This window comes from Homo sapiens, chromosome 10, assembly GCF_000001405.40.
Source record: "Homo sapiens chromosome 10, GRCh38.p14 Primary Assembly".
Classification (NCBI taxonomy): domain Eukaryota; kingdom Metazoa; phylum Chordata; class Mammalia; order Primates; family Hominidae; genus Homo; species Homo sapiens.
In genome coordinates, this window is record NC_000010.11 from 42867649 (window position 1) to 42887331 (window position 19683).

A 19683-nucleotide genomic window follows, 5' to 3' on the forward strand; every position below is an offset into this window, starting at 1 on the left:
GAGTGTGTGCACATCTGTATGTGGCTGTGTAAGTCCGTATGTACATTTGTGTGCATGTCTGTGTGTGCATATGTTTGTACGTGTGTGTGCTGTGCATGTGTGTGTTAAGGCCCTGGGGTGGAGCTGAGTTGTTGAGGGGAGATGCTGGGAGGGCAGCCAGCACCAGGTGTTTGTTGGCCAGGAGAGAAGCTGCCATCCAGGTGCACTCTGGGGCTCCTGCTTCAGTGGCACAAGGCTTCGGGATTGAGGAAGCTGGGGGCTGGAGCAGGGCAGTCCTGCACCTCATGGGAGGTGCAGAGTGAGGTCAGGAGGATGGAGAGAGTGCCAGAGAATGGGGGGAATCTGAGGCATCAGGAAAGGAAGACACAGGCCACGGAGAGGGCAGCTGGGCCCTGGGTGAGGCCGGCCCTCAGGAAGGAGGTGCCACAGGTAGGGGAGTGCCCAGATGGAGAGCCCAGGGGTATGGACCCACGGGTGTATGACAGTGGGGGTACTCCTGAAACCGCAGTATTATCCAACAAGCAGGGTTGGGACAACTAGTTATTTCATTTAAAAAAACAGGTCAATGTCAGTCCTCATTCTATGCTTTAAAATAAGCTCCAGATGGACTCATGCTTTACATGTAAAGAAGAAAAGGCAAAAAGAAAATAAAGAAAAGGCTTGTAAGCAGGTAGTTAATTGGGGGCAATCCCAGGATGCAGGAGAGAGGGGATGGAGCCACAGCAGGTCTGGGGAAGGGAGAAAAGCCGGCCCCGAGACCAGGGCCCAAGGACCCATTCAGGCCAGCAGTGCCTTCTGTGCACTTCCGCAAGGTCACACGTTCTTCCAAAGTTGCCATCATGGAGAGGTAGGCTTCCACGTAGTCTTGACTCCACTCGATTTCAATCCTTGGGTGGCTTTTCCTGTGATCACACTCAGCCCTGATACAGCCATTGCTGGGGCCTCCCCTGGCTGGACGTTCCGCTTTTGGTCCACATTCTTTCCTCCTGCCCTGAGGCTGGCCATGGGCCTCCTGAAGGCTAGCTGGGAGGACCTCCCTTCCATGGCTGTGCTCTTGCTCTGCCCACGCTGTCGCCTCCATCTCTACCTCCCTTTCCATCCTCACCACCAGCGCTCGAGTCAGTGGGGAGCTTTTCACTCACCAAGCCCAGGCAGGTGCGTCACGTGAATTTCTCTTGAGCCTCCCACTAGAGGTAGTGGCACTGTTGTCACCCTATCTGCTGAGGATATGCTGGGGCTGGCAGGGGCTACCCAAGACCAAAGGTGTCGCTGTCTCCATCCTGTGCCCACCCAGCCCTGCCCCCTGGGATCCCTTCAAATCTTTTTTTTTTTTTTTTTTTTTGAGATGGAGTCCTGCTCTGTCTCCCAGCCTGGAGTGCAGTGGCGTGATCTCAGCTCACTGCAATCTCCGCCTCCCGGGTTCAAGCGATTCTCCTGCCTCAGCCTCACAAGTAGCTGGGACTACAGGCACCCACCACCACACCCGGCTAATTTTTTTTTTTTTTTTTTGTATTTTAGTAGAGACGGGGTTTCACTATGTTGGCCAGGCTGGTCTTGAACTCCTGACCTCATGATCCCCCTGCCACAGCCTCCCAAAGTGCTGGGATTACAGGCATGAGCCACCACACCTGGCCCCCTTCAAATCTTAACAGAGAAGCCACCAAAGTCTCCTTGGGTCCATCACATGGATGGACCTCCTGGGCCCTTCAGCCCCTGGGCTTCCCTTGAGGTCCTGGAGCTATGTGGGCTCCAGCTCTGGGAAGGTGGACCCCCACGTGTGTGTCCTGCCGTCACTGTCTCTAAGGAGTCTGGCTCACACTAAGTGAGCCATAAGGCCTTGTTCAAGGTCATCTGTCCCACTGATTTCAGACGCATGGTGGAGTCTGAAATCATCTGTCCCCCACAGTGCATTCAGAGCCCTGTCTGGACTAGGGCACACACACATGCATGCTCATATATGCATATGCACATACGCACACACATATGCATATGCACATACGCACACACATATGCATATGCACATACGCACACACATATGCATATGCACATACGCACACACATATGCATATGCACATATGCACACACATATGCATATGCACACACATGCAAGGCTGCAAGGCTCATGCACACACACACATGCACACACATGCACACACATGCACATGCACACACATGCACATGCATGCTCACATGTACAGGCACTCATGCACCTAGAGCCTTCTCATCCTTCACTTTGAGTCCCCCCTCCCCTTGCCCATCCTTGCCCATCCTTCAAGGGCTCAGTCAAAAGCCATCTTTTACAAATTGTCTCTGGTTGACTTTCTTTTTTTTCCCCTCTTAGAAGAAGCGATGCTGTCCTCAGTCATCGAGCATTCACTGGGCGCTTCATGTGTGCCAGGCCCCGACATGGGTCTTGGGCATGTTCCAGTTCTCATGTCCTCAGGGCTCCTTGGTGAGTCGAGGGTGAGGAGGACACGGAGGCACAGGAGGCCACGGGGCAGGTCTAGGTCCACTCAGCCTCCAGAGTTCAGCCCTCCCTGCTGAGTCGGGGTGAGCAGGACAGATGCCTGCTCCTGGAACTTGGTGGGTGAGGTGGACAGGCATGCAGGGAGGCGCCAGGCTCAGGGGCTGTGGAACAGAGAAAGGAAGCTTCCAGGACATCAAACAATTCCTGGAGTGCCAGGGCAAGAGGGGAATCTGGGTGGAGGAAAACGTGAACAGGGCAGAGGTTGGAGGTGGATGTGGCCCCCGAGCACGTTGGAGGCGACTGAGGTGCTTCTTGACTTTGGGCATCTTCGTTCATCCCTGCATTTGCACATTTGTTGAACACACCTACTGAGACACTTGTTTTCTTTCCATGGTCCATACATTAGGAACATAGAGTTAGCTTCCTGGGGAACTTTTTAAGAAGTATTCTTAGAGAAGAAACCAGGAGGCATCGTTGTGGGATGTTGGTCCAGGATCTTGGGTGTGTCCTTTGGTCTTTTGTGGGTCAGGTTAGCAGGAATTGTGTCCTGAGGTGTTGGGACTGCAAAGTACAGGTTCCCTCCTGCCCACACTGATGCCTTCAGGGAATGACCTGTCTGCTCTTCTAAGAAGAACACTTAACTCAGCCTTGGCTGACCTCAGCTACCTGTGCTTTCTTCAGCCAGGCTCTGTGTTTTGTGCTTTTACTCTCAAAACAACCCTATTATTATCCCTGTCCCACAGACGAGATGCTGAGCCCCTGAGAGGCTCAGTAGGTGCCTGAAGGTCTTCCAGCCAGGAGGTGGCAGAGCCAGGGCCGGCCTGGCCTGAGGACTCCGAAGCTCCCATGGGCACAGCTCCTTCATGCCAGCTCTGTGTTGGGATTTTCTGTGGTTGTCACAGCCATCTTCCTGGTCAGCTAAGTTACAGACAGGGTGAAACTAGGATGGCCGAGCTGGAACCAGAGCTCATTCCTGAGCAGGGCACCTGGGCCCTGCCTACGGTGCTGGGCAGGCTCCTGGTGTGGAGGTCAGGCTCAGATCCTGCAGTCCCTGTGGCCGTGGGGCTTTTCTAGGCACCCTCCTGACTGCTAACACCAGGAGGGCCTATGATATGGGACCGCTGCCCCATGACGTGTGCCAGGTTTCTGCACGTGACCACTGGGAAAGGCTGGCCCTGGGCTGGGTGGATCCGCACTGCCTGCTGGCCCCTGCACCCAGATGGTGCAGCCCACACCCCTCTGATGCCCACCCACGCCCGGCTCTGGGACTTCCCTCCTTCCGCTGTGTCTGACCCTGGTTGCCCTTGTTCTGCCACTGGCTTGTAGCAGCCCTTCCGGAAGCCATGTCCTCCAGGGAGATTTGATTATGTCCTGGTGGTGCGACCTCGCTAATGCAATCAGGAAGTTTTCTCAAGACTTCAGCTGCTTTGTTGGCAGCCAGGCCTGGCTCTCAGCAGCTCTGCAGGCTGGAAGGGCCCAAGAGACCCTTCACCCACCCGGTGTCTCCAGCAGCAGGGAGGGGTCCGGGGCACAGCCTATTGCTGCTCTGCTCTCCTCCCTTCTTGGGGTAAGCTCCTTTGCTCTGATTTTATTTGGAATCATCGAGAGCCTCTATCTGTCTAGAAAAAGCGCTTAGCAATGAGGAATCAGCACTGCAGAGAATACTCCAGAAAGCAGCCATTTTCCATCAAGATTAGGCTCTTAATTGAAAATTTTAAGAGGAGAGGAAATTAGGGGAGAATCCAGATATTCTCTCCATTATGGTAATCAGCTGTAATCAGAGCCTGAGAGCTGTACTCAATCCCGGGGGTTCTCCCAGGATTACCAGAGCTGCCACAGTCACCTTCACCGACCTGCACTGGAGTCAGTGGGAGGGGCTGGCGGGGTCAGGGGCACTCTGGCAAGTGGATCCAGGAGGGCTGGGCTGGATCCAGGGGGCTGAGTTCAGAGGGAACTCTGCTTAGCAAGTGTGAAACACAGGACTGGGCCTTCCAGGCAGAGGGAAGATTGAGAACTGCGGCTGAGCGAGTGCGTCCAGGGGCCCCAGTTTAGTTGAGGGTCTAAGTTTTCCCAGCAGGGCAAGGTTGAGGGTGAGGATGCTGCAGGCCAGTTTTCTATGGCCTCAGAGTGAGGACAAGAAGGGGGAGATGGGCCACAGGGATGAGGGTGCCTGCTCCCTGCAGCAGGGTGCACATCATGGCTGTGCAGAGGCAGCAGGCGGCAGGTATTAGGAAGAAGCCCTTCCCGTGTGTGTCCTAGGGGCTGGGCACAGGCTGGGCACAACCCTTTGCTCACGGTTGCAGAAGCCCATCCACATGGGGTCCTGCTGAACTGGCTTCGTGGGGCTGGGAAGGACTGGCCTGGCCTCTTTGCTCACTTCACCTTATGGGCAGTGTCCTGCAGGTTTCTGTGAGCAGAGCAGACAGAAAGGAGATGCCCAGTGACGCCAGCTGTCCCCCGCAGAGCTTCCTGGAGCCTGGGCTCTAGGCTGAGGGTCCTTGAACAGACGTCATCTCCCTGGCTTCAGCAGAATCACCCACAAACCCACCCTGTGCCCACCCTCCCATCACAGAGAGCAGCTGCTGGAGAACAAGGCATGAGACTTTGGAGACCTGGAGGAGCAGGAGACACAGGAGACAATGGCCAGGGTGGTCATGGTGGCACGGCTATGCCATCACTGATTTCTGCCCACCCGCCCCCTAAGTCTCACTTGCTGCTACTCTCAATTTCCTACTTAATGCTTCGGAGAGCACCAGTCCTGAGATGAGAGGCGGGATGTTCACTCTCTGGGAGTTGAGATGGAACCCAGGCAGTTAGAAAAAAGTGCCACAACCACGTGCCGGACCTACTACTTGCCAGGAGCTTCGTGAGTCATCCAATTCCTAAAACAATTGTGCTGCGTATGCTCCACCACGCCTGGGCGACTCGGGGAAATGGGGCTGCGGGAGGCTCAGTGACCTGCCCTGGGTGACACGGATAGCGTGGATGCCCTGTCCATGCATGGGGCTGTGCTAGGAGGACAGGACCATCCCCGGAAGCTGGTCCTGTGTCCACTGCTCACGGTGGCAGCTGCTTGGGCTGACAACCGCCCCTCCCTCCTGCTGGTGAGTCCTTGGATGTATTCAGGCACATGGCAGCAAGGTCTCCTGTGTCCCAGAGGCGACTAGGACCCACAAGTGAGCAGCAGGTGCCCCACTCCTTCATGCTAAGGCTCATCACGGGACGAAACCCAAGGTGGTATTGGAGCCAGGGGCTGTGGCCATGACAGCCACCCACTCCAGACGATATCCACATTCGGAATAGTTCAGAGTGGCCTGCCTTGATGACATCACGAACTTCTCCATGGAAATGTGTCACAGAACCAGAACTTAAGGGCATTTGGATGAGGTTGAGGTGAGATCAGGTCACAGAAGAACGTTCTCAAGTTAGGTGGGAAACAGCTGGAGACTCTGGGATGTCCTCAGGACCTTTATCTAAGCAAACACATGATAAGGTCTTTCCCAAGAAATAAGCGTGGCTTTTTGTCCTGGTTGAGGAGGGTTGTTGTGGATCTTTTCCCCCTTTTACCTTGGCTTCCAGGAAGCTCAGTGCCAAGTTTTATGCTCCACCCAGGCCTACTATCCTTGGACTGGTCCTCAGGTGCAGCCCTTGGTCTCTCCTTTCTTTATCGCATGAGCCCGCTTGGTTTCTGTACATTTTGTCCGCTGGTGCTGACGGCTGGACACCCTTTCCTGAAGGAGATGGGGCATAGAGTGAGTGGATGATGATGGGCTGTGACAGGGCCCACTACCAAGGATGTGGGCTACGAGGTGTGGGCTGGGAAGGAGGAGGAGGACCCTGCACCTCAGGGGGCAACCAGGAGCACATTCTGGGGAGCACACACCTGCGGTGTTATCACGGCCACTGCCCATGTCTTGGACACTGGAATAAACAGGATGTGGCGAAGCCTTCTGTGTATGGGGGAAGACTTCCTTACTCGCCACTGCTGTCACGCTCTATGGCCATCTTGACCCATCACTCAGGCAACATCAGACGCGTCTCTCTGTTCAAGGGCTCTGCCCCTAACCTTGTGCCAGAAAGAGGCTTGACAGTTTGTCCTGTCTCGAGGTTTCCTCTATATCTCTTGCTGGGGCTCCCATAGACTGTTCTGATTTTTACTGATGAAGACAGTGCCATGGTGAGCCTAGCAGTGCACACAGCTCTTCTCTTTCCCAATCATTTCCATGGGCGAACCCCTGAGTGTAGAATGACCACTCCAGTCAGATTGTGAATACAGTGAACTGTGGGCCATGGGCTCCCAGGACACTGCTCCGGCCTGGCTCCTGCACCCAGACTCATTGCTGTTGGCTTTGCCATGGTAACACTAGTTTGGTATAAAACTGCACCGTCTCCTTCTGTCTGAGTTTCCTTGACTGCTGTGGTGGTTGAGCAGTTCGCCCTACTTTGGGTTTTGGTCTTGGTTTCGTTGCTTTTAGTATTTCACCCATGAAAGATCTATTCATACCCATCACGCATCTATCTATCCAGAATTTGAATTCGTTAAAATGCAAGGGAATTTTTAATATATAATAATGTTAGCAATTGGTCTGTCATATTTGATACAAGCATCTTTCTGGCCTGTTTCCATCTTACTTTTGTTTCTTTTTCATCCACTCATAAGTTCAGACTGTTTTCTAGTCAGTCACGGCCCTGGTTCCACTAAGGAGGGGAATGTCCCTTGAGTCCCCGGCTGGCCTCCCTGGGAGAGTGCCACACCCCCACCCGAGTCCAGAGGCTCAGGAGCTGCTCTGGCTGCACGTGTTCCCCGGGACAGGTCTTGGGCACTGGGGGGTCTGTGCCTGGACACTGGCATTTTGCTTCATTCCCACTCAGGGCCCCTCCGCAGCAGGCTTGGTAGCTGGGGGTGGCCGGACACCTGGAGAAGGGCTGGGGGCACTGCACCAGTCTCCCAGGCTGGAGGGGCCACAGTAGGGAGTTCCCAGCTCAGCCCCAGGGGATGGCCACCCCTGAATCCTCACCGAAGGCATCCAGGCTGTCCCAGATCCTGCCCACACCTGAGACCTCGGCTCCCGCTTCTCTCCGCAGGCAGGCAGAGCAGGCGGCGGGATGTGTGGGTTGAACCCTGATGGCAATGGGAAGGGTCTTCGTGACACAGCTTCCCAGCACCCAGGCAGAGACAGGAGGCTGGGCTGCTAACCCGACTGGAGGCTGTGCTCACCCAGTCCCCTCCCTGTGCTTCTGGGGTCTCCAGACCACCCCACAGGGTACCCAGATCAGTGTGGGCTCAGCCCCCTGCCCACTGCACCCTCCTTCGGGGTGCCTTCCTCGTCTGTCATGATGTTCCTGATCCTGCACCCGTCCCCTCTTCCTCCAGCCTTCCCTGGCTGGCTGCTGTAGTCAGTCTCTAGGGCTCTGCACAGCACTTCCTGGTGGTGCATCCTGGAGGACTTCCCGGTAGAGGTGTCTGGCAGGCACAAGCTTGCTGTGTGCCTGGCCTGCAGAAATGCACGGTAGGCATGCATTTGTTGGATGGTTGTAACACTGACTCTGGGAGGTGGACTGAGGTTCCTTATGGGTCCTTCTAGCATCCCCTCTCCCCTTCAGAGATGAGTGTTGAAATTTGGGGTTCTCTGGGTGTGGCAGGAGGCTGGGGGGTGCTCCGCTCATGGCCACTTCATGGCGGGCTTGGGCACAGTTCGGAAGGCAGCCAGCTGTGTGTCCCCTGTCTCCGGCCTCCTTGTGTATGAGTCACCATTGGGAAGTCGCCGGCATTTGTTTTAATTTAACAGGACTTGGCTCATCCCCGGAGCTCTGCCACTGGCTCGTCCTTCCTTCCACTGTGGAGAGGAAGGGGGTGGGGTGCAGAGTGCTTGCAAGAAAGCACTTTCCCCTCATCATCTCAAAAAAAATTTCTTAGCAGAAGCAATGAGAGAAATTTACTGGCCTGTCACAAAGAGTCACTGCTCATCAGACGAGAGAAAGGAAAAGCAGAGGTCATCAATTCATGGGCAGTGTCTCAGGAAGGGATTAAATCATTTAGAGACACGTCCTTAAGAAATCATTGAAGGCTCATGCTGCTGTTTTCTTTCCTGGCCTTCCCATCGCATGCAGATGGCCCCTGTCCAGCTGTTCAGATGCTGCACCAGCACCATTCTTTTTGGAAATTTGGGCAGACCTCGTGTGTGTATGTGTATGTGCGTGTGTGTGTAATACACGCTCATGTGCCTACAAATTGTTATCTGTGTGATATGGTTACATAAACACACACAACTGTTGTCTAGCCATGATGGTTTCAGTTTTCTTGTATTTGTGTTATGTTGCGAGCTGCTACCAATTCATTCAGATAAATAAGGGCAGAAATAAATATAACCCGCCAGCTACAGGATGCTGGAAAGCTGGTTAGAGTCCTTGGGGGGTGGGGTATGGGGGGTGGGGGTGGTCTCTGTCACCGCAGTGCCATGCAGCGCCTGGCACGGTGGCGTCCTCGCTCCTGTCATGAGACAGTGGGAAGCCATAAGGCGCCTGGGGCTGGCGCATCCCTTGGGTCACTGCACAGTGGTGGGGAGCTTTAGCTGGGATGCCAGCTGGGCCTGGGTTCAGGTCCCAGCTCCCCACTAGTGACCTGTGTGGCCAGCTGTCCTCAACCTTCAGGGCTGTGTGAGCCTGAAACATGTGGTGCTGCATCTGGCATTTAGATTGATGTGTGAGGGTCCTTTTGGTCATTCGTGTGCCTGCTGCTCAGGTGCCTGACTCAGCAGGACAGCCCATAGGTCCCAGCATGACAGCAGGCATGGGGCATGAGGTGGGCATAACTAAGATGTTATGCTGGTTAATTTATGTGTCAACCTGATGGGGCCCTGGGGTGCCCAGGTCAGATATGATTCCGGGTGTCTGTGAGGACATTTCTGGATGAGATTAGTGTCGGAATCAGCTGCCTGAGTAATGCAGACCCTTCCCATGCGGTTGGGGAGCATCCACTCTGCTCACGGCCTGGAGAGAACAGAAAGGCCAAGGAAGGAGGACACCTGCCCTTTGAGCTGGGGCATGGGTCCTCTCCTGTCCCTGGACTGGGGTTCACACCATGGGCTCCCCTGGTTCTCAGGCCCTCGGACTCAGACTGAAGCCAAACAATGGCTCCCCAGGCTCCAGCATGCAGACAGCGGGTCCTGGGACTTCTTGGCCTCCACAGTTCTGTGAGACAGTTCCCATGACAAATCTGTGCCATGGACCTGGGTGTCTCCTACAGGTTCTGTTCCTCTGGAAGACCCCAACACACACATGAAGGTGGTGGACACAGCCCAGCCAGTTGTGAAAAACAAACAAGACAGACAGATAAGAGGTCTCTGTTGGAATTAAATAGAAGACTTTCCAAGCACTAATCTCCTCCTTTTGCTCATCCTAGAAACTGTGGCTGAGCACCCCCCTGCACCAGCCCTGTGTCCAAGGATCACTGATGGATCCCCTGCCCTGCCCAGCTCAGTCCAGGGGCGGTGCTTGCGTTCTTGGGGGATGAATAGAGATGCTCAGAGGCCAACTGCAGGGCCATGCCTGGGGGCTGGATGGTGCTCCCCTGTCTAGGGCACTCAGCTGCATAGGGTGCTCCTCTGCATAGGGTGCTCCCCTGCATACAGTGCTCGCCTGCATGGGGTGCTCAGCTGCATAGGATGCTTGGCTGCATACGGCTCTCAACTGCATAGGGTGCTCCCCTGCATAGGGTGCCCCCCAGCATGGGCACCTGGGTGGGTCCAGAGCCATGTGGCTGCCACCCTCTCCCTGTGGAAGGGACCCAGTGAGGAGAGCTCAGCAAGACCACATAACAGAAGGGGGTTGGAGAGGTGCCAGCCTCTGCCAGGAAGCCTCAGTGCACAGAGCAGCCATGGCTGGGCTGATAGACTCATCTTCAGTCTTATTGCCTTCTTACGGGAGACACAGAGGCAGAGATCATGCAGGGCAGGGTGAGGAGGGCCCAAGCTTTTCTCAGGGCCTAGGGCCCGGAGCATGGCCCTCCTGCCCACCCACCCCGGAGTGCCTTCCTGTCTCTTCACATGATATTAGCTTCCCTCACCATCTTCTGGTCCCCCAGCAGTGTCACCTGAGGCCTGCCTGGAGCTATGTCAGGAGTATCAACCGCACTGAGAGCTTGGTGAGCAATTCATAGCCTTGCCCAGTGGGAGTCTGAGCATCCCCTGTGGCCACCTGAGTGGATGTCAAGTGGGGCTGCCCTGCCCCCAGCCCATGCTTGACCCCGGGATCCTGAGCAGATTCCTGGGGCAGGTTCTGCCTTCCTTCCCTGGGGCTGTGTCTCTGTCACTGCTCAGGAGTGACAGTGCCTGGACATGCTCCTTGGGCTTCTGGGGTGTTGGTGGGTGGTCCAATGGCAGGGACAGAGGAGCAGTGTCCTTGGGATGGCCAGAGGCATCCTCCTATGGATAAAGTCGGTGGCCGATGGCTGGAGGGCTGACTGCGGGCCTGCTGGGGCCCTGCTCACTCACTGCAGTGGAACAGGAGCCCCCGATGCAGCCCCATCCTCAGCCCAGCCAGGGGTGGGAGGGAGAGGACAGGGCCCTTCGATGCACACCCTTTTCCCGTCCCGGAGAGAGGGGAGGCCGCTGCATCATGGCGCACCCTCCTGGGGCTTGGGTGAATGAGTGCTTACTGCTCTTTGGAGAGGCAGGTGACCCATCTGCTTTCTGCATTGGTTACGCAGCCCCACACAATGCCTGGGGACTCAGGGCAGGTCCTGAAGGTATTGGGCTTCTCTTCTGTCCTTCTCACTCCCCCAGAGAGACTGGGGGTTGAGTGTAGCCATAGCCAGCCCCCCTTTCATGATAATCAGATGGGCTCTGAGTGGAGACCACTGGGGCTGCAGGCACTTATGAGATGAGGATGCAGAGATAAAGCCCATGGTCCCTTCTCTGCAGGGGCCAGAGCCCACAGTTGTGCAGAGAAGGGATAAAGCCAGGGGAGCACACGAGCCCCCGGCCCACCTGGGAGGGCCCAGCAGGCTCCCCGAGTGAGCCCTGGGGTAGGATGGGCAGCCTGGAGGGGAAGAGGCTGAAGGGGCCACAGACCAGCCTGGGCATAGAGCAGGCTGCAGGTGACCAGCTCGTCCCTCTGCCCGGAACCTACCTGGGAAAGTGCCCATCCCAGCCCAAATGGGACGGCTACTCCCCTGGTGGGAGGCAGGGTGTGGGACTAAGGGGAGATGCTCAGATGGCGACAAGCCACCTGGAGCTTAGACTTGGACCTATGGGGTGTGGACCAAGGAAAGGTTGGGGGCTCCAGGCCTGGGCTATGCCTGGAAGGACGATGGGCAGGGGAGATGGGGTCCATCAGGGGCTTCTTTGATGCAGGCACAGAGTCGGAGCCGGGCTTCCGGGGAGTACACACCCTGAAAGGTGTGGAGGGGGCAGGATCAGGGACTCGGCGCTGGATGGTGTTGGGGTGAGGCAAGGCTTGGCCCAGGTCCCGGCTCTGCATCTGGGTAGGTGGCTGTAGGTGGGCAACTGCTCCTCATGGGAAGCTGACCATCTCTGTGCCGGGCTGGCGGACAGGAGGTGTCCAGAACAGGGCAGGGCTGAAGTGCAGGGGGCCCAGGCTGGAGACTCCCCGATTGGAGGGCCCCCAGTGAGGGGTCATCGAAAGCAAAGAGTGCCCCTCAGTGCTCAGGGCTAAAAGGGCCAGGTCCAGGACTGCTGGAGGAGGGCCCAAGAAGTGGGTCAGGGCTCAGACGCCAAGAAGGGAGGGGGGCACAGGGCAGGGCACCATCAGGGCCAGGAAGGGACAAGGGGGGCCAGGGTCCTTCAGATTTGCCAGTCAGCGTTCCATGAGGAGACAAGCGTGAGCCAGCAAGACGGTGGGCATGGCCGGTGGTTCTCCAAGGCTTCCTCAGGGCACGCGGTGGGCTGTGTGGGGTGTCACGTGAGAAACGGCACTGAGATTAGTAGGCGTGACAAAGCTGAATTCCTCACAACCGCTCCCCTCAGGGCCCACCACGGGCTCCTGCAAGGGCGGGGAATGCAGGTGCTGGGCCCCGCGGGAGGAGCAGCCACAGCGGGGGACAGGGAGGCCAGAGCCGAGTGGAGAGGAGTGCGGGACTGAGGAGGCTTTTATCCCCCGACCTTTTCTGAAGAGAGAAGAGATAGAAGCAGAGTCATGAGTGCTAGAGACGGGCAGGGAAGGAAATGGATTAAAGGAGCTGGAGGAGAGGGTCCCGGAGTGTACGGAGGAGTGAGACCCTGGCCCCACCGCCTCCCTGGGTGTGCGAGTGGGAGTGTCCAGGCATGCATGTGCGTGTGGGTGTGCGAGGGTGAGTGTGCGAGTCTGGGTACACGCGTGTGTGGTAGGGAGTACAGGTGGGGGCTGGCGCAGTGAGAGGTGGGGGCTGGACGAGGCAAGGGTGAGGGCCCCTTGGTCAGGGCCGCCCACTGCCCGCAGAAGCCCAGGGCAGTGAAGGCGCCCAGGAGCAGGTGGTTGGGTTGACTCAGGTTGGAGACCCCGCTGGGGGTCAGCAGAAGAATGAGGGGTGGTGAGGGGCGCTCCAGGCAGGGTGGTGAGGTAGAGAGAAGAGAGGCCTTTGCATTTTGCGTATTCTGTTGGTGGAGGAAATGGTGAGCCATCAAGGGCTGCTGGCAGCCTCCCCCTAAACCAGCCCAGGAAATGCTGGAAGAGAGAGACTCAGAGCAAATATAGACCCACAGGGATGCCTGGAGCACAGACAGGGTCAGGTTCAGGTTGCTGGGGAGGCCATGGCACAGGTGGAGGACAGCTGGAAGCCTCCACGTGGTGCTGGCCCCCTCCTGCTCCCTGGGCTGAGCCAGCCCAAGGGGCACGCAACCTCTGAGCTGGCAGTGGCCGCTCTGCCCCTGGCTACAGCAGGTATCAGAGCAGGCAGTTCAGACCCAACACAAAACCCAAACATGCCTGCAGGAGCAGCTCCCAGTTGCGCCCAGCTCCTAAAGAACACACCTGTGCCATAGAAGACAGACAGAGCAGGACTTAGAACAAGTGACCAAAGTCCTCAGAGGACTTCGTCGTAAGGGAGCATGCAATGAACATGAGCTCAAAAGAAGCGGCTGTCATGACAAACCAGTTGGGGATGTTGGGTGTAAAAAACATAATTTATAGATAGAATAGAATTCATTAATATAATGTATGAAACTGTAATATAATTCTAAATAAATATAATTGTTGAAAGGGGCTAGAAGATTTTACCAAGGGACTCCCCAGAAAGCATCAGGAGGGTATAAGGAGGTGGGAGGCAGGTTGAGAGGTGAGGAAGGTGGAACAAGACGGCCCCTGCCCGTCTCCAAGGAGTCCTGGGAAGAAAGGAAGAATACCGGGTAGGAGAATATATTTGAAGAAGGGTTGGCAGAGAATTTCCAAGAACTAAATACAGACACAAGACTTTAGATGGAAGTGTTCACAGAGTGGCAAGCACACACACCAGAAAAATTAGAATCACAGAGGGAAAAACAGTTACAGAGATACAAGAGTGAGTCTGACCTCAGAGTTCTCAAGGCCCGACAGAAGGCAGGAGACCAAGTCACCAGGTCAGTGGGGAGCATGGACAGGAGGTGTGAAGTGGGCATAGCTAAATAACGAGAAGGATCGAATTGGAATTTCAGCCCAATATACCATTAGTGTACACCACTAACACCCACATAAATGATGCTTTGTATTTTTCTTATCTACAAATACATGGAAATACAGCTGACCCTTAAACAATGTGGGGGCTAGGGGCACTGAACCCCCTCACAGTTGAAAATTTGCATATAACTTTTGACCTCCTCAAAACGTAACTATTAATAGTCTACTGTTCACTGAAACCTTACTAATAACACATACAGTCAATGAACACATGTTTTGTAGGTTATATGTATTATATTCTGTATTCTTTTTTATTTTATTTTTTGTTGTTTACCCACACTACACAGATGTATCACATGCTATATTCTTCAATGAAGTAGGCTAGAGAAAAGAAAGTGGTATTGAGAAAATAATAAGCCAGAGAAATTTATTTACTCATTAAGTGGAAGTGGAGCATTGTAAAGGTCTTCATCCTCATCTTAAGCAGGCTGAGGAGGAGGAGGAGGAAGGGAAGGGGTTGGTCTTGCTTTCTCAGGGGTGTCAGAGGCAGAAGAAAATCTGTGTGTAACTGGATGTGTGTGGTTCAAACCCATGTTGTTCAAGGGTCAGCTGTAAGTAAGTAAGTGGCATGTGGCCTGGAGAGGTACCACATATATGGGGAGGCTGCTGATGTTAAGTGTGTGAGGAAGGAGATAGGGACACGGGAGAAGGGGTTAGACCAACACAACAGTATCAGGGGCTGAAGTGGGGCCCTCACAGACAGATGAAAAGGAGGGGGAAGGGAGGCACCCTGCCAACTGGGGACCACATAGCTTTGTGCATCTGAAAGCCACTGAAAACAGGGAAATTTTATCACCTCTAGACCTGTAGGGAGGGAAAGGAAATAAGGAAACACAGTCCACTGGGGACCAAGAAAAAAGTGGTGGAAAGAAAATAAGATGGTAAAAGTCATTCAAAATATCCTTAAGACAGTAAAATGTAATGATGTTACAGGACCACCAGGTTCCTACACCTGCTGCGCAGTTACAGACCAATGCACCAAGACAGCAGGCTTTGCAGCAGAGAAAGAGTTTCCTGATCTCAGGGCAGCTGAGTGAGGAGGCAGGAGGGACCCTCACTTCATCTCTCTGAGGAGTTTTGGGCTGGAGTTTTTAAAGGATCGTGGAGGTCAAGGGGTGGAAAATTGGGGCCACTGATTGGTGGGGCTAAAGAGGATGCAATCATCGGGGTGTGGACACTGTATGTTCTGGTGAGTCAGCTGCTTGTGGGGTCCCTCAGACCAGATGGAATCAGCTGTTTGATTGGTATGCAGGACCTAGAAGGATATCTCAAGTGGACAACTTAACACTTCACAATGTTCAAGTTGCTATCTATAGAGGATAGTTGTTATCTATCTGAACTTAGGGGAACTGGGGCCTTGTAACGGATTACAAGGTGATTCTGAGGCAGTATGCATGGAATGGTAGTGAGGAAGGGTCAGAGAGCAAGCTGGCCTAGAAGCCAACACTCAGGACACTGCAAGCTTGGTTTATTTTCCTTTCTCTCCCTCCCTTCTTTCCTAATTAATTTTATAAAACGTATAGGGATGGATTCAATAAGATTAAACTCATCTATTCGAAACATGGATTCTCAGGCTGTGTTTTTTTACATTTTTGTTTTGTTTTGTTTTGTTTTTAAAGCAAGCTATCTGCTATGAAGTGTTAACAGAAAGGAAGTGGGTGTGGGAAGCGACCAGTAAGGCAGGGAGAGGTGCATGGGGTGGGGTGGAGGGCAGTACCAGGTAACTTGGAAGGAGGTCATGCACCTGGAAGATGCAGCCACCAGCCTCAGTGAGACAACAGCAAACCTAGCATGTCCCCAGGCATGGTGGGAACTTTGAACATACCTCACTCTAAAATTTGCATCAAACAGAATAAAAATCATGAAAATAAATAGATCTGAAATACAGATTTTAAGTTTGGGCTGCTGGGCAGATACAGAATCCTGTACCCCATGCGCCGGGCATTAACATTTTTTCCAGCACAGATGGAACATTTATAATACTGACCATGAAGGTGGCCACAAAGGAGGCTTCAACAAATAGCAGAGATGATAAGCAGGACATGCTCTCTAATCACAATGCAATAATGTTAGAAGTCAATCACAGGAAGACTGCCTTGAGCCCAGTTACATCTGGAAAACACAATAACTCACGGGCCCGAGGAAAAACGGTAATGGAAAATACAAAAGATATAAACCAAGCAATGATAGAAGCAGCATATATTGACTCTCATGGGATGCAGGTAAAATGGCACTAGAGGGAAATTTATAACCTTAAGTGCTGTGTTAGAGAACAAGATAGAAGGCAAATTAATGAGCTCTGCGTTCAACAGCAGATGTTAGGAAAAGAGGCACAGAACAGGCTCAGGGAAGAGGCCGAAGGCAGAGCCGGGCTGGAGAAGGAGAGCTCAGGGAGGCTAAGAGCAGTGGCCTGGGGAAGGGGCCTGGGGCCGTGGGTCAAGGATGGAGTCCTGTTGGGAGTGTGGGGAGTGGGTCAGGGATGCTGGATTCAGCATTTGAGGATGGGCTGTGCTGTGTGGATGAACCATCAAGATAGACATCAGGCCCCCCAGAATTTGGCAAGACTGGAGGTAGAGCCAAGTGAATCCACGCCAGAGTCCTGGATTACTATGGGCCATGGCAGTGGTGTGGAGAGACCACTCAGACCTAATGAGCCTGCAAGACTGTGGGTTCCGTCTGCTTACAGGGGAGAGCTGGGATTTAAGGGAACAAAAGCCTTGGGGAAAGGGAGCGGGCTGCTCAGGGGAAGTGGATATCAGTGAAAGCCAGGTTTTGTTTAAGGTGAGATGTCCGTGCAAGTTGAGTGGAGGGGTCATGGGGCACCTGTTTCTCTGAGTCCCCAGGGGGCAGGGAGAGGGATGGGTTAGGGCTGGGTGGGGACCAGGGTGGCTGGTGGTGGTGGTTATACCCAAGCACAGCAGGGTTGAGACTGACAAGCTCATCCAGCTTCTGAATCCTGATGGAGGCCCCAGAGCCTGGTGCCCTGGGGACTCTGCGGAGGGTGGTGCAGGAGCACGGCCCTCAGGTGCTGGGAGTGAGGTGAGCAGGGTCACCCCACACCTGGCCTGCCCCTCCTCCCTTGAAACCAGCGGTGTGTCTGAGCACTGGGCCTGAAAGCATGGCATCTGGAGGCCCAAGGCTAATGCCCATGGCCTCCTCTGCCTGCTCTGCTTGTCCAGGGGCTGAGCTGTCCTGGTCTCTCCCTCTGCTCCTTCATGCAGAGGTCTTCAGAGCACCCTAATGTGTCCAATCAAGGCCAGGCTTGTTGGTGAGACACTCTCGGTCCCCAGCTCCATGCTAGATGTCTCCACCCTCAAAGGACCCAGCATCTCATGACTTCATGTCCCACTAGCAGTCCCTGTGCCCAGTTCACCCATCCCCACTGACCACCAATGTTTGATTTTTCCTTCAGAAGCATGTGAGGAAATGGATTGTTGATTAGCCTGATTCAATCATTCTACATTGTAAACATATCAAAGCATCACCTTGTATCCCATAAATGTATACAATTATTATTTGTCAATAAAAAATAAAATTAAAAAAGATTCAGTTCCCAGCTGCCTCCTCCAGGAAGCGTGCAGCACTCTCCCTTGCTGAGGACCAACTTTACACCAGTTCTTACCCTGGACCCTGCAGAGGGCAGAGGGCACTTGGGCTGCCCATCAGGGACACATCCATGCCTCTCTAGCTTTCTAGGAAGCTTCCTGTCTCAGCCCAGGACTTTGGGAAGGTGGAGGTAGTCACCTCCTACAGTCAGGACAGCTGCAGTTCAGAGGGAAGAGGCACAAAGTCCTCAGGTTGAAGTTACCCAGCTGGAATTTCCTTTCTCCCACTGAAAGAGGATGGTGATATTTGGGACTCAGGGTTGATGTCACCATGGGAGGTCTACTGGGACAGATGCTGGGATGTTGAGCTCATGCCTGCAGCTGTACACAGTGGGCAGTGTGGCTGTGGCTCTGGGCACCTCTTTCCTTGGTGCCAGATGTGCTGCCTGGCCCTGTATGTAGGAGGCTGGACCTGCTGGGCCTTGTGGCAGGGCCTCAGGGTCCTTCTGGTCACCTCTTCCTCCCTGCAGGTGCCTCTGCTTTTGAGAAACTCAAAGCCAAGGACAGGTCACTGGATGTGCTGGGGGCACCAGGACTGGTGGGGTAGGGGGTCCTTGGTGCCAAGTTCACCCCAACCTCAGCAGGGAGAAGGGGCTTTGGAAAGGCCCTGGCCCAGGGAGGGGGCGGCCAAGCAGGCCTGGCTGGGGAGGCCCAGGCATTGCAGTTGGGCCAGGGGCCCGTGTGAGGGAGGCAGCCTCCCCTTCTCTAGGATGGGGCCAGTGCCCAGCTCTGCGAGACCCGTGTCCTGCACCCCACACCCCAGTGGAGCACAGCATGAGGCCCTCAGGCCCGATCCCGTGGTTGCTGGTTCTGCGAGGAGATTTTGAATCCCCACTAGATTGTCTTAAGGTTCATAGGCATTTTTGGGTTTTCTATGTCTTTTTCAGACACGTTCCAAGTTTGGTCTCTTCAGGTTACTGTCTGTTTTGTCAGTTATTGGCAGAATAATGTTGTATAGTAATTTGTAAAATGTCTGTTATATTTAAAGTTATGTCTCCATTTGATTTATTGTGTTATATGCTGTGCCATCCCTCTTTTCATTTTCTTGGTCAATTATTCTAGAGGTTGGTTTACTTTTATTAGTATTTTCAAAGAATCACCATTTTAATTTTGTTGACCCTTTCTTTTTTTAATTTTTAATTTTCGTGGGTACATTTTAGTAGGTGTATATATTTATGGGGTATGTGAGATATTTTGATACAGGCATGCAGTACACAATAATCACATCGGCTGGGTGTGGTGGTTCACGCTTGTAATCCCAGCACTTTGGGAGGTCGAGGCAGGTGGATCACAAAGTCAGGAGTTTGAGACCAGCTTGGTCAACATGGTGAAACACCGTCTCTACTAAAAATACAAAAAATTAGCTGGGCATGGTGGTGGGCACCTGTAATCCCAGCTACTTGGGAGGCTGAGGCAGGAGAATCACTTGAACCCAGGAGGCAGAGGTTGCAGTGAGCCGAGATTGTGCCACTGCACTCCAACCTGGGCAACAGTGCGAGACTCCATCTAAAAAATAAAAATAAAATCACATCAGGGTGAATGGGTTATTCATCCCCTCAAGCATTTATCCTTTGTGTTATAAACAATCCAATTATACTCTTAGTTATTTTTAAATATACAATTGAATTACTATTGACTACAGTCACCCTGTTGTACTAAATAGTAGGTCTTATTCATTCTTTCTAACTACTTTGTTTGTACCTATTTATCTTCATCATTTCTCTTACTCCCCTACTACCCTTCCCAGACTCTGGTGACCATCCTTCTACTCTCTTCCTCAATAAGTTCAAGTGTTTTAATTTTCAGCTTCCACAAATAAGTGAGAACATGTGAAGTTTGTCTTTCTGTGCCTGGCTTACTTCACTTAACATAATGACCTCCAGTTCCATCCATGTTGTTGCAAATGACAGGATCTCATTCTTTTTTATGGCTGAACAGTACTCCATTGTGTACATGTACTAC

General features: G+C 53.6%; 1 long non-coding RNA gene across 1 annotated transcript, besides 5 other annotated features; it reads left to right on the top strand.

Moving 5' to 3' along the window:
- Window positions 3217–3718: an enhancer, noted in NCBI's record as "H3K27ac hESC enhancer chr10:43366313-43366814 (GRCh37/hg19 assembly coordinates)". NCBI's record gives its function as "activates a minimal SCP1, AML or CMV promoter by ChIP-STARR-seq in naive H9 embryonic stem cells {active_cell/tissue: H9 hESC(naive)}" and the evidence as "EXISTENCE:reporter gene assay evidence [ECO:0000049][PMID:30033119]".
- Window positions 3719–4218: an enhancer, noted in NCBI's record as "H3K27ac hESC enhancer chr10:43366815-43367314 (GRCh37/hg19 assembly coordinates)". NCBI's record gives its function as "activates a minimal SCP1, AML or CMV promoter by ChIP-STARR-seq in naive and primed H9 embryonic stem cells {active_cell/tissue: H9 hESC(naive and primed)}" and the evidence as "EXISTENCE:reporter gene assay evidence [ECO:0000049][PMID:30033119]".
- LINC02623 (long intergenic non-protein coding RNA 2623) lies at window positions 3873–6412 on the top strand. The gene is made up of 2 exons (NR_134479.1): window positions 3873–4034; window positions 4861–6412. It is a non-coding gene; the product is annotated as a long intergenic non-protein coding RNA 2623 (long non-coding RNA).
- Window positions 6886–7614: an enhancer, noted in NCBI's record as "H3K4me1 hESC enhancer chr10:43369982-43370710 (GRCh37/hg19 assembly coordinates)". NCBI's record gives its function as "activates a minimal SCP1, AML or CMV promoter by ChIP-STARR-seq in naive H9 embryonic stem cells {active_cell/tissue: H9 hESC(naive)}" and the evidence as "EXISTENCE:reporter gene assay evidence [ECO:0000049][PMID:30033119]".
- Window positions 10823–11323: an enhancer, noted in NCBI's record as "H3K4me1 hESC enhancer chr10:43373919-43374419 (GRCh37/hg19 assembly coordinates)". NCBI's record gives its function as "activates a minimal SCP1, AML or CMV promoter by ChIP-STARR-seq in naive H9 embryonic stem cells {active_cell/tissue: H9 hESC(naive)}" and the evidence as "EXISTENCE:reporter gene assay evidence [ECO:0000049][PMID:30033119]".
- Window positions 17880–18380: an enhancer, noted in NCBI's record as "H3K4me1 hESC enhancer chr10:43380976-43381476 (GRCh37/hg19 assembly coordinates)". NCBI's record gives its function as "activates a minimal SCP1, AML or CMV promoter by ChIP-STARR-seq in primed H9 embryonic stem cells {active_cell/tissue: H9 hESC(primed)}" and the evidence as "EXISTENCE:reporter gene assay evidence [ECO:0000049][PMID:30033119]".